Source organism: Homo sapiens, chromosome 11 (genome assembly GCF_000001405.40).
Source record: "Homo sapiens chromosome 11, GRCh38.p14 Primary Assembly".
Lineage (NCBI taxonomy): Eukaryota > Metazoa > Chordata > Mammalia > Primates > Hominidae > Homo > Homo sapiens.
The window spans coordinates 45,831,464-45,855,860 of NC_000011.10; the positions used below are offsets into that span (position 1 = coordinate 45,831,464).

Sequence of the window (24,397 nt, forward strand, 5' to 3'; positions counted from 1 at the left end):
AAAATACAAAAATTAACCAGGCATGGTGGCACACACTTGTGGTCCCAGCTACACAGCTGGGACCCAGCTACACTACTGTTACAACAGGAGGCTGAGGCAGGAGGATGGCTTGGGCCCAAGAAGTCGAGGCTGCAGTGAGCCATGATCACACTGCTGTACTCCAGCCTGTGTGACAGAGCAAGACCCTGTCAAAAAAAAAAAAAAGATTAAAATGGTAAATTTTATGCTATGTGTATATTTTACCACAATTTTTAAAAACTGAAGAAAATGAAACAGGATGGAGGTGAGGCAAGGACAGAACATCAGGGTGGCTGGTGCACACAGAAAGCAAAGTGGAGCATGAGGAGGAAACTAACAAGGTGGATGGAGGCAGCTTATGCAGGGCCGCATGGATAGAAAGGAACGGGCAGATTCCAAAAAGATCCAGACCAGGGAGCCAGGACCAGGACACTGCAAGGATCCTCAAAGGAGGAGGCCAGTAGAAGAGGACAAAAATGACCAGCAGCATCCCTAGGAACAGGCTCTGCTCTCCCCACCACACCACCCCTACTGTGCCTACCTGCAGTCAAGGCTGTCCCCCACACTGTCTTGTCCAGAGCATGTGAACAGTCCTACCCACCCACCCACACAGACACCCCAGCACCCAGCAGGGCCTGCACACAGTGAGCACTAAGAAATGTTTGTTTCTTAAACAACAAGAACAAAAAGAGCAAATGAGCACATCACACTCTATCGTGTAATTGTGCTGGGATTACTTAAGATTTTTCTTTTTAAATTATTATTATTATTATTATTATTTAATTTTGAGACGGAGTTTCACTGTTGTTGCCCAGGCTGGAGGGCAATGGCACAATCTCAGCTCACAACAACCTCCACCTCCCGGGTTCAAGTGATTCTCTTGCCTCAGCCTCCCTAGTAGCTGGGATTACAGGCATGTGCCACCACATCCAGCTAATTTTGTATTTTTAGTAGAGACGGGGTTTCACCATGTTGATCAGTCTGGTCTGGAACTCCTGACCTCAGGTGATCCACCCACCTCGGCATCCCAAAGTGCTGAGATTACAGGCATGAGCCACCACATCCAGCCAAGATTTTTATTTTCTGATTGGCTTTTCTGTGGACTTGCCAACTTGTTTAAAATGAACTTACACTACTTTTACAACTGGAAAAACAAATTCCATTACACAAATAAACAGAAACCCAGATGAAACTGTTGGACCTACCCTCTTTGGGATTTTTGGGCCCATTTCTGCTCAGAGCCTACCCCCGCCTTCTCTGCTCATTTGGGATCTGCTGGTTTGACTTGGCCCCTTAACCCTTGGCCCATCCTGTTCCTCCATTTCCATCCCCCACCACATCAGGTCCTCCTGTCTGGGTCAGATTTTTTGGATCAACCCACATGATCGCTCCCTCAATCTCCAAGGCATTTACCTCCAGCTCCGTAGTTCTCAACTAGGGGCGATTTGGCACTGTCTGGAGACATGTGGCTGTTACAGCTGGAGAGTTGCTATGGAATCTGGTGGGTGGGGGCCAGGAATGCTGCTAAACATCCTACAGTGCTCAGGACAGCCACCACAGCAAAGGACCGTCTGGTCCAAAATAACAAGATTGAGAAAAACATACCTGAGCCAGTAACGATAATAACGTGATCATCCTGACCGTCATTCAACAAGAAGCTTCTATGTGCAAGGCACTGTGCGGTGTGCATTACACAATTTAGCAATCAGAATCCTTGCAACAGCCTTCAGAGGAAGGTAAGATTACTATCTCCATTTTATAGATAAGGAAACTGCAGCTCAGAGAAGGTAAGTAACTTGTCCAAGGCCACACAGCAAATATCCGAGCTGGAATTTGAATCCAGGTCTATCTGACTCCAAATCCCATTAAAAGCCCCTAAGGGGCCCTCAAACACACACACTCCTCTTTCTTCCCTTGAGCTTTAAGAATGGTTACTGTTTTCTTGAGCAACAACCTGTAAAATTTCTGTTTTGAAATTAAACAAGGTTACGTGCCCCTGTTCTGTTGGTTGGAGACCCTCCTCTTGGTTTTGCTTTCTTGTGTTTGCTTTATTTATTTATTTATTTATTTACTTATTTATTTATTTGGGCAGGGTCTTGTTCTGTCACCCAGGTTGGAGTGCAGTGGCACCATCATACCTCGTTACAGCCTCAAACTCCTGGCCTCAAGTGATCCTCCCGCCTTAGCCTCCCAAAGTGCTAGGATTACAGGCACAAGCCACCACACCCAGCCTGTTTGTACTTTATTAATATAGAGTCCACTATGGAGGCAGCACCTTGTCTCTCAAGGAGAAACTAAGGGCAGCTTTTCTGAGTGGTGGAAGTGAGTAAGGGCTCAGTCCCAGGTGATCTGAGCATAGCCTCCTGTGAACCCAGAAAATCTGAGACTGGTCTCAGTTAATTTGGAAAGTGTACTTTGCCAAGATTGCAGACACGCCCGTGACACAGCCTCAGGAAGTCTTGACAACAGATGCCCAATGTGGGCAGGGCACAGCTTGGTTTTACACATTTTAGGGAGACATGAGACATCAATCAATATATGTAAGAAGTACATTGGTTCAGTCTGGAAAGACAGGAAGACTCGAAGCAGGGGAGGGGGCTTCCAGGTCACAGATAGGTGACACACAAATGATTACATTCTTTTGAGTTTCTGATTAGCCTTTCCAAAGGAGGCAATCAGATATGCATTTATCTCAGTGAGCAGAGGGGTGACCTTGAATAGAATGGGAGGCAGGTTTCCAGCTGGAGTTTTGCTTAGTGATTTTGGGGGCCCAAGATATTTTTCTTTCACACCTCCCGTTCCCTTCCACCATCCCTTGACTCCATGATCTGATGGCCACAGCTGGAAAGGAACATCCCATCTACTCACAGTCAGCTGTGGCGAAGATAAGAAAGCACTCACATGCCCATTTATTTGGCCCTTTGTTCGAGGTTACCAGGTCAGGGTGCCAGGCAGGAGGCCAGGCCCAACTTTACTCAATGTCTCCTCCTCCCGTGCTGTTGGACAAATAGTGCAAGCCCCAGTAAGACTTAACAGAAGGATGCTACTAGCTACTTCCTGCCTCCAGTGAAAACCTGCCTGTGGCTTTAAGAGCTTAGGTCCCACAGGTCCAGCTTCCTCAATTCCTAGAACCAGCAGAACATTCTCAGAAGGCTTCTAGGGCAACTTCCAGAGAACCGCTATTCTTCACAGGAGCTGGGTAGCAGGGGATGTCTCTGTGCAGAAACCAAGGCACTACAGGGAAACCCTTGGGGGCCACTCTCTGGAGCTAACACAGCCAGAGAGGGCAGAAACAAATGGGGGGATTCTGAGCTCACCATGCCAGACCCACCCAGAGCCACCACCTTTTCTTCTTAAACTTCTAAATTAAAGTGTAGCATATATACAAGCAAAAGAATGAATTATAAAAGAATACAGCCTGGCCAGGCGCAGTGGCTCACATCTGTAATCCCAGCACTTTGGGAGGCCGAGGCGAGTGGATCACAAGGTCAGGAGTTTGAGACCAGCCTGGCCAAAATAGTGAAACCCCGTCTCTACTAAAAATACAAAAAAAAACAAATTAGCCAGGCGTGGTGGCAGGCGCCTGTAATCCCAGCTACTCGGGAGGCTGAGGCAGGAGAATGGTTTGAACCCGGGAGGTGGAGGTTGTGGTGAGCCGAGATTGCGCCATTGCATTCCAGCCTGGGCGACAGAGCAAGACTCCGTCTCAAAAAAAAAAAAAAAAAAATACAGCTCAATGGGTTACCATAAGATGAACACATCATGCAGAACATTATCAACACCCTAAAATCTCCCCTAGGAGCCCCCACACTATCCCATCCTTCCTATTCAATGGTAACCACTATCCTGATGTCTGATGTATAATACCATAGATTAGTTTTTATTGATTGTTGTTGTTGTTGTTGTTTTTAATTTATGAGCTCAGAATATTTTAAATATGGACACCAATAGACTAAATTTTTTTTTTTTTTTTGAAACGGAGCTTTGCTCTTTCACTCAGGCTGGAGTGAAGTGGCACGACTCTGCTCACTGCAACCTCCACCCCTGGCAGTTTCAAGTGATTCTCCTGCCACAGCCTCCTGAGTAGCTGGGATTACAGATGTGCACCACCATGCCCAGCTAATTTTTGTATTTTTAGTAGAGACGGGGTTTCGCCACGTTGGTCAGGCTGGTCTCGAACTGCTGACCTCAGGTGATCCACCCGCCTCTGCCTCCCAAAGTGCTAAGATTACAGGCGTGAGCCACCCCGCCTGGCCAGGTAAATTTATTTAAAACATTGTACACACTAAACCAAGGTACATAATTCAGGTAAATAAAAGACCCCATAACATCAGTGAAAAACTTCATTCAAAGTTGATGTAAATGATGTATTTAGACTTTAGAATTTCTGAGTGGACAAAACCATACAACTACATGGAAACTGAACAACTGGCTCCCAAATGACTACTGAGTAAATAACGAAATTAAGGAAGAAACAAAGATGTTCTTTGAAACCAATGAAAGCAAAGCCACAACGTACCAGAATCTCTGGGACACATTTAAAGCAGTGTGTAGAGGGAAATTCATTGCACACAAAAGAAAGCAGGAAAGATATAAAATCGACACCCTAACATCACAATTAAAAGAACTAGAGAAGCAAGAGCAAACAAATTCAAAAGCTATCAGAAGACAAGAAATAACTAAGATCAGGGAAGAACTGAAGGAAATAGAGACCCAAAAAATCCTTCAAAAAATCAATGAATCCAGGAGCTGGTTTTTTGAAAAGATCAACAAAATAGACCACTAGCCAGACTAATAAAGAAGAAAAGAGAGAAGAATCAAGTAGACTCAGTAAAAAATGATAAAGGGGATATCACCACTGATCCCACAGAAATACAAACTACCATTAAAGAATACTATAAACACCTCTATGCAAATAAACTAGAAAATCTAGAAGAAATGGATAAATTCCTGGACACATACACCCTCCCAAGACTAAACCAGAAAGAAGTCGAATCCCTGAATAGACCAATGACAAGTTCTGAAATTGAGGCAGTAATTAATAGCCTACCAACAAAAAAAAAGTCCAGGACCAGATGGATTTATAGCCAAATTCTACCAGAGGTACAAAGAGGAGCTGGTACCATTCCTTCTGAAACTATTCCAAACAATAGAAAAAGAGGGAATCCTCCCTAAGACATTTTATGAGGCCAGCATCATCCTGATACCAAAACCTGGCAGAGACATAACAAAAAAAAGAAAATTTCAGGCCAATATCCCTGATGAACATCGATGCGAACATTTATCCTCAATAAAATACTGGCAAACCGAATCCAGCAGCACATCAAAAAGCTTATCAACTATGATCAAGTCAGCTTCAACCCTGGGTTGCAAGGCTGGTTCAACATACGCTAATCAATAAAGATAATCCATCATAAACAGAACCAATGACAAAAACCACATGATTATCTCAATAGATGCAGAAAAGGCCTTTGACAAAATTCAACAGCCCTTCATGCTAAAAACTCTCAATAAACTAGGTATTGATGGAATGTATCTCAAAATAATAACCGCTGTTTATGAAAAACCCACAGCCAACATCATACTGAATGGGCAAAAACTGGAAGCATTCCCTTTGAAAACTGGCACAAGGCAAGCATGCCCTCTCTCATCACTCCTATTCAACATAGTATTGGAAGTTCTGGCCAGGGCAATCAGGCAAGAGAAAGAAATAAAAGGTATTCAATTAGGAAAAGAGGAAGTAAAATTGTCTCTGTTTGCAGATGACATGATTGTATATTTAGAAAACCCCATCATCTCAGCCCAAAATCTCCTGAAGCTGATAAGCAACTTCAGCAAAGTCTCAGGATACAAAATCAATGTGCAAAAATCACAAGCATTCCTATACACCAATAACAAACAGAGAGCCAAATCATGAGTGAACTCCCATTCACAATTGCTACAAAGAGAATAAAATACCTAGGATTACAACTTACAAGGGATGTGAAGGACCTCTTCAAGGAGAACTACAAACCACTGCTCAAGGAAATAAGAGAGGACACAAACAAATGGAAAAACATTCCATGCTCATGGATAGGAAGAATCAATATTATGAAAATGGCCATACTGCCCAAAGTAATTTATAGATTCAATGCTATCCCCATCAAGCTACCATCGACTTTCTTCATAGAATTGGAAAAAACTACTTTAAATTTCACATGGAACCAAAAAAGAGCCTGCATAGCCAAGACAATCCTAAACAAAAAGAACAAAGCTGGAGGCATCACGCTACCTGACTTCAAACTATACAACAAGGCTACAGTAACAAAAACAGCATGATACTGGTACCAAAACAGATACATGGACCCACTGAACAGAACAGAGGCCTCAGAAATAACACCACACATCTATAACCATCTGATCTTTGACAAACCTGACAAAAACAAGCAATGGGGAAAGAATTCCCTATTTAATAAATGGTGTTGGGAAAACTGGCTAGCCATACGCAGAAAGCTGAAACTGGATCCCTTCCTTATACCTTATACAAAAATTAACTCAAGATGGATTAAAGACTTAAATGTAAGACCTAAAACTATAAAAAACCCTAGAAGAAAATCTAGGCAATACCATTCAGGACATAGGCATGGACAAAGACTTCATGACCAAAACACCAAAAGCAATGGCAACAAAAGCCAAAATAGACAAATGGGATCTAATTAAACTAAAGAACTTCTGCACAGCAAGATAAATTATCATCAGAGTGAACAGGCAACCTACAGTATGGGAGAAAATTTTTGCAATCTATCTATCTGACAAAGAACTAATATCCAGAATCTACAAAGAACTTAAACAAATTTCCAAAAAAAAAATAAACAACCCCATCAAAAATTGGGTAAAGGATATGAACAGACACTTCTCAAAAAAAAGACATTTATGCAGCCAACAAACATATGAAAAAAAAGCTCATCATCACTGGTCATTAGAGAAATGGAAATCAAAACCACATTGAGATACCATCTCACGCCAGTTAGAATGGTGATCCTTAAAAAGGAAGCAACAGATGCTGGAGAGGATGTGGAGAAATAGGAATGCTTTTACACTGTTGTTGGGAGTGTAAATTAGTTCATCCACTGTGGAAGACAATGCAGTGATTCCTCAAGGATCTAGAACTAGAAATATCATTTGACCCAGCAATCGCATTACTGGGTATATACCCAAAGGATTATAAATCATTCTACTCTAACGACACATGCACGAATATGTTTATTGCGGCATTGTTCACAATAGCAAAGACTTGGAACCATCCCAAACGCCCATCAAAGATAGACTGGATAAAGAAAATGTGGCACATATACACCAGGAATACAATGCAGCCATAAAAAAGGATGAGTTCATGTCCTTTGCAGGGACATGGATGAAGCTGGAAACCATCATTCTCAGCAAACTAACACAAGAACAGAAAACCAAACACCACATGTTCTCACTCATAAGTGGGAGTTGAACAATGAGAACACGTGGACACGGGGAGGGGAACATCACAACTGGGGCCTATCAGGGGGTGGGGGCTAGGGGAGGGGTACCATTAGGAGAAATACCTAATGTAGATGACAAGTTGATGGGTGCGGCAAACCACCATGGCACGTGTATACCTATGTAACAAACCTGCACGTTCTGCACATGTACCCCAGAACTTTAAGTATAATAAAAAAAAAATAGAATTTCTGAGTGGAATACTTGTCTTTTAAAAGTCCTGGCTGAGCATGGTGGCTCATGCCTGTAATCCTAGCACTTTGGGAGGCCGAAGTGGGTGTTTCACTTGAGCTCTGGAGTTTGAGAACAGCCTGGACAATATGGAGAAACCCCATCTCTATGAAAAAATACAAACACTAGCAGGGTGTGGCGGCACGTGCCTGCAGGCCTAGCTACTTGCGAGGCTGAGGTGGGTGGATGGCTTGAGCGTGGGAGGTTGAGGCTGTGGTGAGCCATGACATGTATACTCCAGCCTGGGCGACAGAGCAAGACCTTGCCTTTTCTTGTTTATTTGTTTGTTTTTGAGACCAAGCCTCACTTTGTTGCCCAGGCTGAAGTGCAGTGGTGTGATCTTGGCTTACTGCAACCTCTGCCTCTTGGGTGCAAGTGATTCTCATGCCTCAGCCTCCTGAGTAGCTAGAACTACAGGCATGAGCCATCATGCCTGGCTAATTTTTGTTTTTTTGTAGAGACGGGGTTTCACCATTTTGGCCAGGCTGGTCTCGAACTCCTGACCTCAGGTGATCCACCCGCCTCAGCCTCCCAAAGCGCTGGGATTACAGGCGTGAGCCACTGTGCCTGGCCTGAGACCTTGTCTTAAAAAAATAATAATAAAAGTCCCGTTCTGGTTCTGAGGCTTATTTTATTTTTTATTTATATTAATAACAGTCTGTAAGTTTTTTAATAATATCTTTGTTAAAATAATTCACATAACATACAATTCACCTATTAAAAGTAAGCACACTTCAATGGTTTTTAGTATATTCACAGAGTTGTACAACCATCATCACAATCAGTTTTAGAACATTTTCATCATCCCATTAGTGTTTACTCCTCATTTTCCTCACCCCCAGCCCTCCTAGCCCTAGAAAACCAATTTCTGTCTCTATGGATTTGCCTATTCTGGACATTTCATATAAATGGAATTCTATAATACAATATGTGGTATTTTGTAACTGGCTTCTATCACTTAACATAATGTTTTCAAGGTTCATCAATGTTGGTATGTGTATCAACACAACACCCCTTTTTTTTTTTTTTTTTTTTTTTTTGAGATAGGGTCTTGCTTTTGTCGCCCAGGCTGGAGTACAATGGCACAATCTCAGCTCACTGCAACCTCCACCTCCTGGGTTCAAGCGATTCTCCTGACTCAGCCTCCCGAATAGCTGGGATTACAGGCGCCCGCCACCATGCCCGGCTAAGTTTTGTATTTTTTGTAGAGATGGGGTTTCGCCATGTTGGCCAGGCTGGTCTCGAAATTCTGACCTGGCGATCTGCCCACCTCGGCCTCCCAAAGTGCTGGGATTACAAGCGTGAGCCACTGCGCTCGGCCAACACTCCCTTTTTATTGCCAAATGATATTCCATTGCATACAGAGACATTTTATTTACTCATTCATCAGAAGATAGTCATTTGGGTTGTTTCTACTTCTTTGGCTATTCACACATTAGTTTTGTCGGATTGCGAACTTTATGTAGTGGATATATACATATTGTGTTTTTCTGTCCTCACACCACTGTAAAGAACTGCCTGGGAGTGGGTAATTTATAAAGAAAAGAGGTTTAATTGACTCACAGTTCCACACGCTGTGCAGGAGGCAGGGCTGGGGAAGCCTCAGGAGACTTATAGTCATGGCGGAAAGGCGAATGGGAAGCAAGCACATTTTCACATGGGTGCAGGAGAGAGAGAGAACGAAGGAGGAAGTGCTACACACTTTTAAACAACCAGATCTTGGGCCGGGCGCGGCGGCTCACGCCTGTAATCCCAGCACTTTGGGAGGCTGAGGCGGGTGGATCACGAGGTCAGAAGATCGAGACCATCCTGGTTAACACGGTGAAACCCCGTTTCTACCAAAAATACAAAAAATTAGCCGGTCGTGGTGGTGGACACCTGTAGTCCCGAGGCAGGAGGATGGCGTGCGTGAACCCGGGAGGCGGAGCTTGCAGTGAGCCGAGATTGCACCACTGCACTCCAGCATGGGCAGCAAAGCCAGACTCCGTCTCCGTAAAAATTAAAAAAAAAAAAAAAACCCCAGATCTTGTGAGAACTCACTATCACCAGAACCGCAAGGGGGAAATCCGCCCCCATGATCCAATGATCCAATCACCTCCCATCAGGTCCCTCCAATACTGAAGATAATAATTCAACATGAGATTTGAGTGGGGACACAGAGCCAAACATATCACTTATATAAATATTTTCTTTGGTTTCTGACTTCTTTCAGTTGATATTAAGTTTGTGAGAATCACCCATGTTACTGCTGCCTGTAACTGTAGGTTTTTTGTATGGTATTCCTAAGTTTGAATACAGCACAATTTTTTAGCTATTCTTTGTCTAATGGACATTTGAGTTATCCCTGATTTATTATTATTACTAATAATACTGCTATGAACATTCTTGCACATGTCTTTTGGTGCACATGTGCACGGATTTCTGTTAAGTATATGCTAGGAGTGAAACTGCTGGGTCATAGAATATATCGTTCATGATTTGTAAGGTATTTGGCTTTTCGAATTTAATATATAACAGACACTTTTTTAAAGTGGTTGTATCAATTTACACTCCCAACAGCAGTGTATTTTAATTGCTCACATCCTCCCAAACACTTGGTTTTATCAATCCTTTTAACTTTATTCATTCTTGCGGGCCTATAGTGGTACCTCATTGTGGTTTTAATTTGTAGCTCCCTAATGAGCTAATGAAGGTGAGTACCTTTTCATGTGTTCATTGCCCACTTAAATATCCATCCTTTGGGGCGGGGGTGTGTGGAAAGTGTCGCAGGTAGCCACTATCTGGGGCCAGTGTTGTGCAGGCAGTAAAAAGAATTTACGAGGACAGTTGTAGGTAAAGAAAGGCAGATTTATTAGAGAAAGTATGAAAAGACATTGCAAGGGTACAATGGGCAGGTCAGCAAGAGAGGAGCTGACTACAAAGAGACAAAGGCTTGCTGGGGATTTTATAGGATGGTGCTTGTGCTGTGTACTGAAGAGGGCTTTGTGCAGTGCTGATAATGCCAAGGTTGCAGTCAGCTATCAGCCAAGGGACTGGTGATAGCTGGGCACAGGAAGATTGTGAGTTATTTGCACAGGAGGGCTATGTGTCCTGGGCCACAAAGAAAGGTAGACTTACAGTTTATCTGCTTTTTCTTTTTGCTTTCCTTCAATCCCACCAGTCTGACTCCTTTTGCCTAATTAGGACTCTACAGAAAGTGCCTATTCAAGTCTCTGGCCTAGTTTCAAATTGGATTGCCTATCTTTTTTTATTATTATGATTTCTAAGGGCTGTTGACATATTCTGGATTTGAGCTCTTTAAGAATTATAAATATTATGTAAGTATCTTTTCTCATTCTATGGTTTGCCTTTTCACTCTCCGAATAATGTTTTTTGATTAACAGTTCCTAATTTTAACACAGTCCAACTCATCAACATTTTCTTTAATGGTTAGTGCTTTTCATGTCTTTTTCAAGAAATGTTTGTCTTCCCCCAAGGTTGCGAAGATATTCTCCAATACAATCTTCTTAAAGCTTTATCGTTTTACCCCTCACATTAAGCATATAATCTATCTGGAATTGATTTGTATGTTGTGAGATGGAGTCAAGTTTCACTTTTTTACAATGGAATACCTGATTGACCCATTACTTTCCCCACTTCTTTACGGAGACATCTTTGTCGTGAATAAAATGTCCAGATTCATGTGGACCTGTTTCTGGATTCTCAATTCTGACTTATTAGTCTATTGACCTTTCCCTAATTTCATATTGTACTTTTATTATAAGTATCATCATCCCCATTTTACAAATGAGGAAACTAAGGCACAGAGAGGTTAATTAGCTCGCCCAATTAAGTAATTTGCTAGTTAATGTCAGATCTGGAAATGGAACCCAGGGAGTTTAGTTTTACGGTCTGTGCTCTCAATAAGCTTTACTGCTTCTCAAGCTTAACAGTTCCAAGAACAAACATTTTACGTCACTACATCAAAATAGGCTTTTGCGTGAAGCCTTGGGAACAGGCATGCCACCTCTGCACCCTGGATTGGTCCTGGTGTTCCCCGCCCAGCCGCAAACCGAACCGCCGCTGTCCCAGTCCTACCACTAGAGGGCGCGGATAACTTAAACTGGCCGGGGACTTCCCTCCCGCCGCGCCTGGTTACCTTCAGCCAATCATCAAATATTTACCCAAAGCGCAGTTCAAAGCCAAAGTAGAAAGTTGTCTAATCCAGTCTCCATGCAGGACATTAACAAAAAGAGACAAAACAGGACTGATCTATCTGCGTAAGTATCTTCGGGGGAGAAAGACGCCACTCAGTTCCTGGCTAATTCATCTCATCCTTAAAGCACCTTATCCTAAGTCTCTCCAATCTTTCACTCTTCCTAGTGTAAACTAGGTTGTTTGGCATCCTCATGACAACCACTCTTTGGAGGTACTTTTTACAAGGTGTACACTAGAGTGCATTATTATGAGATCAAAAATTAGCTTTTATTTCTCTCGAAGAGACAATAGTACCCCATTACATTTCACTTCCTTAGCAATGTACAGGTTTCTTTGGTCTCTGTCCAATTTCTCTGTGTCCCTTTTAAAGTGTAAAAACCCAAAGTGGACTTTGCACTCTAGTATTCTATCTAGTGTCAGATTTACTTCCCGATTCTTTTTTTTTTTTTTCCGAAGTCTCACTTCGTCACTCAGACTGAAGTCTGGTGGCGTGATCTTGGTTCACTGTAATCTCCACCTCCCGGGTTCAAGTAATTCTGCTGCCTCAGCCTCCTGAGTAGCTGGGATTACAGGCACGCGCCACCACACCTGGCTACTTTTTGTATTTTTAGTAGAGACGGGGCTTCACCATGTTGGCCAATCAATTCCTGACCTCAAATGATCCTCCTGCCTCGGCCTCCCAAAGTGCTGGGATTACAGGCGTGAGCCACCGCACCCACCCTACTTCCCGATTCTTGAATGTTACACTGTTAATATACTGAAGCAATATGCAATTATTCAATGAAGTATTAATAGTTCATCTTTATCAACTTGACAACACAAACCACAAAAAAACACAAAAGTAATGATGCAGCAATATACAACATGCTTAATATTTTAAGTTTTAAAAAAGCTGGGCCGGGTGCAATGGCTCATGCCTATAATCCCAGCACTTTGGGAGCCCAAAGAGGGAGGATCGATTGAGGCTAGGAGTTGATTGCTTCAAGACCAGCCTGGGCAACATAGCAAGACCCCTGTTTTTACCAAGAAAAAAATGTTTTTTAAATTAGCTGGGCATGGTAGTGTGTGCCTGTAGTCCTAGCTACTCAGGAGGCTGAGGCAGGAGGATCCCTTGAGCCCAGGAGTTTGAAAATGTATTGAACTAGGGTCACAGCACTGCACTCCAGCTTGGGTGACAGAACAAGACCCTGTCTCAAAAAAAAAAAAAAAAAAAAAAAGAACAGGCTGGACACGGTCGGTGGCTCACACCTGTAATCCCAGCACTTTGAGAGGCCAAGGCAGGTGGATTGCCTGAGGTCAGGAGTTCAAGACCAGCCTGATCAATATGGTGAAACCCTGACTCTACTAAAAATACAAAAATTAGCCCAGCGTGGTGGCTGCCACCTATACTCCCAGCTACTTGGGAGGCTGATGCACGAGAATTGCTTGAGCCCAGGAGGCAGAGGTTGCAGTGAGCTGAGATCACGCCACTGCACTCCAGCCTGGGTGACAGAGCAAGACTCCATCTCAAATTAAAAAAAAAAAAACAAACAAAAAAAAAAAAAAAAACACAACCCAGGGAGCACTGAACCTCTGCTTTGATTAAAGTTTTAAAACTTAAATGTTTGTGGACAAAGTCTAGAAGGCAACATGAAGATAAGAAATAATTGATTTGTTAGGTTTTGGGAACTGAGGTTGATTACTTGTTTTTTCATTATTGGCAAAATTTCAAGGACTTTAAAAAAATAAGTAAAATATTTTATGTAGTCAGCAACTTATGGAGCCCACATTACATGTAAGACCCAGGGCTGAGCATTACAAGGAAGACAAAACCAGACACAGGTCCTGCTGTTCAGAATAACAGTAGCTGACACAGTACAAATGCTTACTATATCCTAAGTGCTATTATCACCCTATTGCAAAGATTAAGAAAGTGAGGAACAGAGAGGTTAACTAGCTTATCCAAGGTCACAGAGAATAAAAGCAGAACTAGAATTTGAACTCAGCAACTCCAATGTGCAAAGCCTCAGGTTTAACCATTACATCACACTGCCTCTCATGATAGCTTAATAAGAGAGCGAGGGGAGGGGAGGGAAGTGACTTTTGATCATTCAACAAATGTTTTTTGAGCACCTACTATATGTTAGGTACCAGAGTACCAGCTGAGAAGACACTGAAAAGTAAGACAAGCACAGTCCCTGCCTCACAGGGTTCACGGAATACAGATATAGCATTATGGGAATTTAGAGGAGAAAAAGGGAAGAGGACCCATCTCTGAGGTTAAGGGAGAACCACCTCCTTACACTCTGTTTCATTCCTAGCAAAGCACCAACCTTGTGGAGAGAAGAGGGCATAGGAGAGGGGGAACACAAAACCTTAAAATAAAAGTAATGAAAGATTGCATCGATTTATTCAGCAAGAATTTGGAAAGGAAATTCAAAAATAAGGAAAGGGTCAGGTAAGCGGACTAGGATAAACCTTTAAGAGCCTGCCAATATGAGACTCTAGTTCAATTTTTACTCAAATAATCCTTGAGCGTTAGGTGCCAAGCCCTGAGCTAGACTTCAGACATACAACTGTATGTAAATAAGCCACAGCCCCTGCTCTCCAGGAGTTTATACTCTAATGGGGCAGAAAGACTTTTAAGCAAGAAATTTCAGTATTGTGTGCCAAGACAAGTGACCAAAAAGAAGCACAGAATAAGATGGGGCACTATTCAGGTTGGGATCAGACAGCAAGAAGGTGACATCTATACTGAACAATGATACAGAGCAAACTGGAGTTAGAAACAAAGATGGAAGAGGGAGTGTGATCTAGACTGCTGGAACAGCTCGTGAAAAGCCCTGGAAATGACAGAGAATGCCTAGGATTGCAGTGACACTGGTTTAGAGAGTGGTGCCAATTAATGCCACTAAATTGCAGACTAAATTACTAAATGCTTTCATCACTCTGTCCCAGGTCCAGGAAGGGTTCCAAGCATGGGCTCAACCTAGGGTCAAGTTGAAACAGACTGTTTTCCACCTGATAACCCCAAAGCTGCAGCTTGACTAAGCCGTCTTAGCCCAAGAGGGTTCCACCTGGCGTCCCAGAAGAATGGGGACAGTGTCCTCCACATCTCTGAACCCTACCCGGAATCCAGTACAGTGCTTTGCACACACTGGATCTACTAAACAGACTAAAAGAAAATAAATTCATCTGATGGCATAATTACTATCTCAATTCAAGTCCCCCACATTCCCAGTCCTTACTCCCAAATCCTCTACTGCTGCATATTAGGGCACTCCTTCCCCGTCCTTAGACTCTGCCACTTGGAATTACCAAGGATCTTCGCACAAAGAGAAGTATAGCTTCGTGGATAAAAGCAGAAATTTCGAAATCAGAATAATCTGGGTGAAATCCTCTTAGCAGCTTTATGATATTGAATAAGTCACTCAACCTGCGGCACCCTCCGTTTTCTTCATCTGTGAAACGAAAACAACAGCAGCTTTTTCACTGGGGTTCGCTAAATGAATGTAACTGGGCTGAGTTGAGAATAGTAAATGAGACCGTCTACGTAAGGAGATGATCATGTCTCTTGCCATATAAAGTGCACTTAATAAATGGCAGCTGTAGTAGAATGATGTAGATGGTGATGGTGACGATGTTGGTGATAATAGGAAGGTCAGCTGTCAGTCTTGCAAGTCACTGGCTGTAGTCACAGCAACCCCTACCAGCCCAGGCAGCTTCTTCTAGAAGCAGGCCCTGAACAGGACGTGGGTAAGAGATCCGCTGTCCCTTGAGACTTGGCCTACTCCCGGCACTCCGCGGACAGCCCCAGCCTGCGGACAGCCCCAGCCTGCGTCACTTGTCCGCATGCCAGCTCCACCCGGGCGGACCCACACATGGTAGGAACGTGAGGGGGCGGGCCTGTTCCGGCGCCTCTGGGCCAATCGCCAGGTGGAAGGCACTCAGCCAATGGCAGAGGGGCTCTGGGGCCCTGTGGGCGGGGACTAAGGGTGGAGTTGCGGCGTCATAGGTCACTGGGCGGGCTATGGGCGGGGTCCACGTCGCCTACCGGGGCGGAGCGGGGGTGGCTGGAGCAGTCTGGACAGTCATGGCGGCGACTGTGGCGACGGCGGCAGCTGTGGCCCCGGCGCCAGCGCCCGGCACGGACAGCGCCTCTTCGGTGCACTGGTTCCGCAAAGGGCTGCGACTCCACGACAACCCGGCGTTGCTGGCGGCCGTGCGCGGGGCGCGCTGCGTGCGCTGCGTTTACATTCTCGACCCGTGGTTCGCGGCCTCCTCCTCAGTCGGGATCAACCGATGGAGGTGAGGGGACCCGGGGCTGGGTGGCGGGGACGCAGCCAGGACCCTGACCCTGGGGTGACCGGCGAACAGCACGATCCCCCCAACCCCGCCACGGCTGGAAGGCCAGAGGGGAGAAGCCGAGACCGGGGAAGTAATTCGTCATGGTCCTAACGCGCCGGTGGGCCAGGGTTCAGCCTCTGACAAAGCGCGTTCGCACTGTTACCCCTTTGAGCCTCACAACTGCCTGTGGAACGGAGATCATGATCCCCGTTGTACAGATGAGACCCTTGAGCCCTGGAGACCCAAAGTCGACCTGCCCAAGGACTTGTAGCCAGTGAGTGGCAGAACAGGGGCTCCTGGTCTAGGGCTCTTACGGTCTACTCAGGGAGGGGCGGAAGGGAGATAACGTAGTGTGAGGGCGGGACGGGTTTTTGCTCGCATTCTTCAAGAGCCCGTTGCTGGGCTCGGGGAGATCACTCCGAAGCCTCTGGCTCGTTTGAATCCGCCCTACCACCCATCCTGGCTACCCTGCACCCAGACCGTCCTGCCTCTAGGGGTGTCAAGTGACCCTGGCTTAGCATTAAATAAGGTCTTCTCCCCTATATTATAAATAAAGAAGCCAAAGGCGTCTTCAGGTGGAGTCGCTTTATGTTCAAAGCTCCAGAGAATCCAGGGGATTCTCCAAAATGTTTTAAGCCCTGCTCTGGAGCTTTGACCTCGATAGAAAAATTTAAAAGAATCCAAAGTGTCACCCCGTCATCCTCTTGTCATGATTTTAGAGGACAGTAGAGCCATTAGAGATGAGACTTTTATGAACTGTTGTGGTAAGGTTAGGGAGCAGGAAAGCCATGATATCAAGGGCCCCTCTGATGACCCCCCAGGAGATGGAGTCGACATGATCATGGAAAAAGATGAACAGGTCGTTAGTGTATTTTCACTGTAAACAGTATTCAAACTAAAGAGTTTTGAGACATAATGTACCCATCGCTCTTCAGAACACCTAGTGGCAGTCGCTCGGTTTGTTTGCATTGTTCTGGGGAATGTTTGCTTGTGGCCTTGTTGCATCGATGGACAGGGTTATTTCCAGGATACCGTGGCTCTCGGCACACCATTCTTTTCTCTCCAAGGTGTGTGCCCTGCTAAGAGAGTGAGTGCTGCTAGCAGTGGGCCTGTTCAGTGTCCCCTCCTGCCCAGAAGGAACAACTAAGGAGTCCTGTGGAGAGCCTGCCCACAGTTTTCAGGCTGCCTTATTGCTCTGTCTCTGCTCCAGTTTTCTACAGATAGGAGGTTGGGTTTGACAAGCATCATCAAATGACCATCCCTAGTGTGCACATTAAGCCAAGCCTCAGACTTTGCCCTGCACCAGTCGGAGCCAGGCAAATGGAATCCGACTACCTTCTTGTTACATTGTCACAGAGTTTCTTCTTTTATTGGGTTTTGGGGGACATTGCATAGTACTGCCTACTCTTTTTTGATAGGGAAGATTAAAAATCAACAATAAAATTCCTGTTGATTAAACTCCAGTTTGCTAGGAACCAGGTGTTTATGGATTTTTGTGGGTCATCATTTTGTGATCGTGCTATCAATCTAGTGAAGAAGAAAAGGAATGTGGCTCAGATGCCTGAGTCAAATCCTGAAGTCAGAGGCTGTGTAAGAATGCAGATATTAATTGATCACTTAATAAGTGCCTAATATCTGCCAGGTACTGCTCTAGATGTTGCTAGGGATACAGCAGTGAATAAGCAGATGTGTCTGTGCTCCAGAACTCCTGGAGCCTACATTTTACCAACAAACAACCATAATTTAGTGAAACGAAGTGCCATGAGAAACATAAGATAAGGGGACAGACTAGAGCAGTGGTTCTCAATCTTGGCTGCTGTGCATTGGAATCCCATAAGGGTCTTTAAAAGATACCTGGGCCCCTTTCCCCCAATTCTATTTTTTTTTTTTTTTGAGACGGAGTTTTGTTCTTGTTGCCCAGGCTAGAGTACAATGGCGCAGTCTGGACTCACTGCAACCTCCACCTCCCGGGTTCAAGCAATTCTCCTGCCTCAGTCTCCCAAGTAGCCAGGATTACAGGTGGCCATCGCCACACCTGGCTAATTATTTTGTATTTTTAGTAGAGACAGGGTTTCACCATGTTGGCTAGGCTGGTCTCAAACTCCTGACCTCAGGTGATCTGCCCACCTTGGTCTCCCAAACTGCTGGGATTACAGGGCATGAGCCACTGTGCCCAGCCCCTTTCTCCCAGTTCTGTTAGAATTGTTCTGGGTTATGGCCTGGGCATTAAGGTTTGGGGATTTTTTGTTTTGTTTTGTTTTTTGTTTTTTTTTTTTTTTGAGACGGGGTCCTGCTCAAGTGACAACCCAAGCTGAAATGCAGTGGCATGATCATAGCTCACTGCAGCCTTGACCTCCTGGGCTCAGCGATCCTCCTGCCTTAGCCTCCCAAGTAGCTGGGACTGCAGGCATGCACCACCATGCCTGGCTAATTTTTGTATTTTTTGTAGAGATGGGGTTTCACCATGTTCTCCAGGCTGGTCTTGAACTCATGGGCTTAAGCAATCACCTGCGTCAACCTCCCGAAGTGCTGTGATTGCAAGTATGAGCCACTGTGCCCGGCCTTGGGCATTAAGGTTTTTAAAGCTCTTATTGCAGCAAAGCTTAAGAAGCACTGGACTAGAGAACCTCAGTCCTGAGACGGGCAACCTAGGAAGTATGTTGCAGTGCATTGGCAGGAAGTCTAATTAATGTTGGCATTCAGAAGAAAGAGATGAAGTAACACAAACAGATTGAATATAATAACTGCTCCTGGGCCTGGAAACAGACACACTCCTACCACCTCCACCATTCTGCTTGCTTCCTGGATCAGTTGAAGGCAGAGCTGCATTCTCTTTTGTGCACAAAGTTGGGGATAGAGGGGAGGGCTGGAGCCAGCCATATCTTGACATGACTGTAGTATGTGTAATCGTCCCGTGGTTGTTTCTGGATTCCAAGAGTGGTCTAAGAGAATTGTGCTGCAGCATAATGTCCTAGCTCTGCAACTGCTTAAGTTGTCTCTGAGAAGCCTCCCTGGGAAGGGCAAGGGACCATCTGCAAGGAGGGGAGGACCCAAAATCTGTGACTCTGTTTCCCTCCTGCTCCTTCTACACTGACTCCCACACAATGTTTTTCTGCAGAGGAAATCAGATTAAAATAACTATGAATGGCACTAAGAGTAAAAACGGACAGAGAAATGCAACCAAGAAATACACATATTGATTAGCAAGAAGAAGCCTAGCATACTTCTTGCCCTGGTGATGGTGGGAAGTTTACGGGCTAATTGTAGCTATATGAGCCTCAGGACTTTTTTTTTTTTTTTCCAAGTGCTACTTGGCTAAGCCCTTTCACATTTTCCCCAGCCTCACCTTCCCCAGATTTGCTACATCTAGAAGGAGGTACTGCAGCAAGAAGATAAACTAAAGGAAGATGTGAGCAGTTCCTAGATTTTAAAATGACCTCTGTGGTTTTTCATTACCTTTCTCTCCCCACTGCAACTTGGATAGGTGTTAGCAACAGTTCCTCTTCCACTTTATTTAAATCATTTTGTCCCTGGCTCTGTGCTGCGCCTCTTTCAGGAGCTTCTGGGACAGAGGGAATTTGTAGAAATAAAATATGTTCCCTCTCAGCCCATTTCTCTTAGAATTGGTAAATGAGGTAAACTGGGAACTTCCCAGGATGCCCCATGAGAACAAGTGTGTCTCTCTTCCCAGATGCTGAGAGCTGAACACTGTTGGACTGTTGGGAAGTGGATTGAGAACGCTAGTCTACTGGCAGGGAAACAGGAGCTTCTCTGAGCTATTCACATTGGTACCTGAGAGAGGCACTTTACTGTTCTGCTGCCAAGGAAATGTTTCTGTTTGCCCAAAGGGGATAAAAACCTTCATCTTTCTCTTTGAAATTAGGAAAGAATAAATATATTTTTAAAATAATAAGAATTTAATATTTAAGTATTTCTAAATATCACTCAGATACTTAGAAATAAATCCCTGCCAGAGATTGTGAGTTTAGGTTATCCTTTTCCATGGGGCTTAAGCTCTCTTAATTACTTAGGAAAAATTAATTTCTATTAATATCCTATGTAGCCAATCTGTGCCAGCCAGTGGTATCATCATCGTTGTTAGATAACCTTGCCTTGAAGCAGAGGAACTTGGTCAAGGACAGCCTGGACCCAAAAGAATTCACTGTTATCCTCCCTCCCCCCATTAACAACAAATAAATAAAATATTCCTCAACACAGGATCAGCCATTCCTAGAGAAGGCCTTCCCTAAATATGAGTACTTAATCAAAGGATCTGCTTGTTTTATTCTAAAAGGCTAGCCTTGTAGAGTCCCTGAGTTATAGTGTCCTCTCTATATTTTTGGAAATCCCAGTCTGGTTTTCTCCAGTTCTGCCTGCCTCTGGCTCCAGAGCACTTACATAATAATGTAATTCAGTTGCACATGTTGTCTAATCCAAAGGGTAAGCTTTGCTCTCCCAGGACCATGTGCTCTGAATTTTGGCCATGTGAGCTCAGCTAAGAGCTGCCAAGGGTGAAGTGCCAGCCCCCAACACCACCATCTCCAATGCCCAGGCCAGTTTCCTTCAGAGTCCCCTCATTGGAGTAAAGAGAAATTGGAGTAAAGAGGAGGGTTCTAAGGGACCACAGAAGGCCCAAGGTTCTCTCTGGTGAAAGAATGCATATACCTGCCCACTGAGCCTTTGCCCAGTCGCAGCACTGCTCCAAATGTGAGGGACAGCTGTCACCTGGCAGGCCTCAAAGGTAGTACCCTAGTGGTGGCTTCTCATTCTCTGCATTCTCTGGCTGCCTGGAGTCTGGAGATACTGGGGACCCTCCTCACATCCCTGTCTATTGCCTCCGTGTGGTGGCTGTCCTGAGCCCTCCCTTCCCGGGTTGACTCGGGAGGGAAGTTGGAAGAAGCAGAGCATTTCTAGCAGGCCAAAGGGGAGGCAGAAATATGGATGCTCAAGAGAGAAAGTTTAGTACAAACAAACTAGAAGCAAAGAAAGGCAACTTGTAACAGAGACTAGAAGTAAAGTTCAGTTTTCTAGAGTAGTGCTTGTGAAACTTTAATATGCAAATGAATCACCAGGGGATCTTGCTAAAATACAGATTCTAATTTTGGAGGTCTGGGTTAGAGCCTGAGATTCTGCATTTCAACAGACTCCTGGGTGTTTCACAGCCAATGCTGCTGATTGTCAGACCACACTCAGAGGAGGAAAGATCTGGCAGCAGAGGTGTTGCTGGCCTTTGAGTTGGCCTGTGGTGCTCCCTAATGGCTGAGCCCAGGGCAGCACAGCCTCAGTGCTCTGTTTGTTGAGAGGCAGTGGCTGGCTAAAAACGAACATGTCAAGCCTGACAGATTGCCTAGGTTTGAATTCTGGCCACTTACTAGGTATATGATGTTGGGCAAGTTTCATAATCTCTCTATGCCTCAGTTCCCTCATCTATAAAATGGGAATAATAATATTACCTACTTGATTGGGCTGTTTGAGAATTAAATGAGGTAATGTATGTGAAACAAGTAGAATAGTGCCTGTCATTGTAAATGCTTATTAAATGTTAATCATTGCCATTATTATCATTATTTTTATTTAGTTGCTGGGTTCAGAGTTGGGCCTTCTACCAGCCTCACATCTCTGCTTCCTGCTATAAACATCTTTTGTGAAAGAAGAAAAGGGCTCTCATAGGATTAGCTGTACTTTAGAGATGCTACGAGGAATCTCTCCTTTTAGTAAATGAGGTCTAAAAATAAAGTTCTATAGAAGGCAGATTGCTACATGTTCTGGAACCTAGATTTCATGTGCATTCCAACCTTATTTATAGCTTCAAATCAAAGTCCTATGCAGCCTGGTGGACTGTGAAGGAAAAGACCCCCAAAGCGCATGGCAAGGACACTCCTGGGAGCTGCAGATGGAGGACCCTGTGTCCTGGGGTTATGAAATTTAAATCACTGCTCCTAGCCCTAGGCATTCTACCTGGCAGGGTCCAGGTTTCAGATGGCATGAGACCATTTGCATGGATTTCTCTTCTTTTCCTTCCAGAAGAGTGGTGAGGCTTGGGGGAGGCCAACACAAGTGACGCACTTGCAGCTCCCTGTTCCTTTTCTGGAGGTGACAATTTTTCAAAAACAGAAATTCACAGAGGTGGAGCTTTTGGTTTGCATAAAGCAGCATTCAACCTGTTTGTCTTCCATCCCAACCTCTCAGAGAGTCTTCCTCATGCTCTTTTGCAAACATGATGCTTTGAGCCGAGGCCAGGGCTCAGCCCATGCTAGAATGTGGGTCGGTGGCATTGGCCGTAGGAGTGTGTCAAGTTGTGTACGTCAGAGGCAGCAGTGGGGGCTGGTTCTAGTTGGCAGCCTGGGAATAGTCACTGCTTCTGTAAGCCTCCAGTAGTCAGGGAATGTGACTGTGATGTGCCATTTCTATTGTTGACAGAGAAAAATGCTGGGGATGGGTGGAGACCCAAGGGGTAGATAGCAGGTGCCTCAGAGGTATCTGTGACATATGCAGATTGACCTGTGGGTTCTTGAAGAAGAAGATAAGAATGCCAGTGGATTACCTGTAGTCACATTGCTATTAGAGAACAGGATTCCAAACTCCTGAGGGCCTGCAGAATCTCAGCCCCTGGAACAGAGTTGGTGTGCAACTAGAAATCTTTAGAAATGGGGCACAGAACCCTCACGGTGGCTCACGCCTGTAATCCCAGCACTTTGGATGGCTGAGGAGGGCGGATCACTTGAGGTCAGGAGTTCAAGACCAACCTGGCCAACATGGTGAAACCCCATCTCTACTAAAAATATTGTTTAAAAAATTAATTGGGTGTGGTGCACATACCTATAACCCCAGCTACTCGGAAAGCTGAGGCAGGAGAATCGCTTGAACCTGGGTTGGGGAGGTTGCAGTGAGCCGAGATTACGCCACTGCACTCCAGCCTGGGCGACAGAGCGAGACTCTGTCTCAAAAAGTAAATAAATAAATAAAAAAGGGCACAGAGAGGAAAATGTGGGTTTCAGAGTGACCACCCTAGGTTCCTGAATCCCCAGCTTTGTCACTTAACAGCTATGGTCTTAGACAAATTAATTCACCTCTGAGTGTCTCAGTTTCCTCATCTATAAAATAAGGATGGTACTATTTCCTTCAAAATAGTTGAGAGAATTAAATGCAGAAATGCACTTAAAAAGCATGACAGAACCAAAATCCCATTGATAACCTTGGTTGCCTCTGGGGAGTGAGGGAGGGGAAAACCCTTTCTACTATGTACCACTTTGTCACTGGAATTTTGAGCCACATGAATAGTTTATCTGGTTATAATGTTAATTTAATTTAAAAATAAAACGCTGAAGGCACTCAGCAAATGTTAATGTCCTTTCCCTTTCCCCTGGTGATCCAGGTCTCCTGCTGAAGTTCTTGCCTAGCTGCGGTCTTCCCCACCCCCACCCCCACAAAAATGTGAAGATAGCTATTGAGAAGTACCTTTTAAGGCCTTCTCCCTCTTGGGATGAGAACCTGATCACCAGAGCCCTGGAGAGGCCTGGAGAGTGAGCCACCTGCCAAACAAAGCTCTGGGAACTAGGGACCCATTGCAGGCTGTGAGGCTGTGGCAGCAGAAATACGCATGGCCCAGAGCATGCATGCAGAAAGTCAAGGAGTCTTTTCCACCAGAGTAAGGAGGATTTTCCCGGCTGTGGCAGTCTGGTCCTCTGCTAAGAGGACCTTAATGCTTCATACCACAGTATTGCACTGGCTTTTCAGATGGCTCCCACGTGAGTCTCACAACAACCTCATGCTGGGCAGATACTTATATCTAGCCCCAGAGACTGCGAGGGAGTAAGTGACTAGCCTCTGATCACACAGAAACACCACACTAGGAACAGCTCACATTTATCTCATGATGTCTGTGTGCCAGGCACAGTGCTAAATGTTTTTCACACATTATTCGATTTTCTTTTCTTAGCAATTTTATGAGATGGGTACTAACATCAGCTTCACATTACCGGCGAGAAAACAGGCAAAGAGGTTAGGTTATTGCCTAAAGTCACACAGCTAGTAAGTGGCAAGACCAGGGTTTGAAGCAGAGCAGCGCTGATCCACTACCACATCCCTCCTGGGCTGGAACCCAGGCCTCTCCAGC

At 44.7% G+C, this 24,397-nt stretch overlaps 1 protein-coding gene across 2 annotated transcripts in view, besides 8 other annotated features; it reads left to right on the forward strand.

Annotated features, from left to right (window-relative positions):
* Window positions 15,463-15,572: an enhancer, noted in NCBI's record as "active region_4668". NCBI's record gives its function as "activates an Ori minimal core promoter by ATAC-STARR-seq in GM12878 lymphoblastoid cells {active_cell/tissue: GM12878}" and the evidence as "EXISTENCE:reporter gene assay evidence [ECO:0000049][PMID:35858748]".
* Window positions 15,623-15,672: an enhancer, noted in NCBI's record as "active region_4669". NCBI's record gives its function as "activates an Ori minimal core promoter by ATAC-STARR-seq in GM12878 lymphoblastoid cells {active_cell/tissue: GM12878}" and the evidence as "EXISTENCE:reporter gene assay evidence [ECO:0000049][PMID:35858748]".
* Window positions 15,655-24,397, forward strand: part of CRY2 (cryptochrome circadian regulator 2) — a 36,127-nt gene continuing 27,384 nt past the window's right edge. Inside the window, exon 1 of one of the 2 annotated variants that reach the window (NM_001127457.3) lies at window positions 15,655-15,818. In NM_001127457.3, coding sequence (NP_001120929.1) covers window positions 15,787-15,818 — 32 coding nt within the window. In that variant the 5' untranslated portion in view covers window positions 15,655-15,786. Of the gene's footprint in view, window positions 15,819-16,011; window positions 16,243-24,397 lie in introns of those variants that run through there. The other variant, NM_021117.5, reaches the window with a different exon arrangement.
* Window positions 16,033-16,272: an enhancer, noted in NCBI's record as "active region_4670". NCBI's record gives its function as "activates an Ori minimal core promoter by ATAC-STARR-seq in GM12878 lymphoblastoid cells {active_cell/tissue: GM12878}" and the evidence as "EXISTENCE:reporter gene assay evidence [ECO:0000049][PMID:35858748]".
* Window positions 16,033-16,782: a biological region, named in NCBI's record as "H3K27ac hESC enhancer GRCh37_chr11:45869217-45869738".
* Window positions 16,203-16,724: an enhancer, noted in NCBI's record as "H3K27ac hESC enhancer chr11:45869217-45869738 (GRCh37/hg19 assembly coordinates)". NCBI's record gives its function as "activates a minimal SCP1, AML or CMV promoter by ChIP-STARR-seq in naive H9 embryonic stem cells {active_cell/tissue: H9 hESC(naive)}" and the evidence as "EXISTENCE:reporter gene assay evidence [ECO:0000049][PMID:30033119]".
* Window positions 16,673-16,782: a silencer, noted in NCBI's record as "silent region_3289". NCBI's record gives its function as "represses an Ori minimal core promoter by ATAC-STARR-seq in GM12878 lymphoblastoid cells {active_cell/tissue: GM12878}" and the evidence as "EXISTENCE:reporter gene assay evidence [ECO:0000049][PMID:35858748]".
* Window positions 20,855-21,149: a silencer, noted in NCBI's record as "tiled region #9087; HepG2 Repressive non-DNase unmatched - State 14:Gen5', and K562 Repressive non-DNase unmatched - State 18:Pol2". NCBI's record gives its function as "represses a minimal TATA promoter and a strong SV40 promoter by Sharpr-MPRA in HepG2 and K562 cells {active_cell/tissue: HepG2 | K562}" and the evidence as "EXISTENCE:reporter gene assay evidence [ECO:0000049][PMID:27701403]".
* Window positions 21,136-21,275: an enhancer, noted in NCBI's record as "active region_4671". NCBI's record gives its function as "activates an Ori minimal core promoter by ATAC-STARR-seq in GM12878 lymphoblastoid cells {active_cell/tissue: GM12878}" and the evidence as "EXISTENCE:reporter gene assay evidence [ECO:0000049][PMID:35858748]".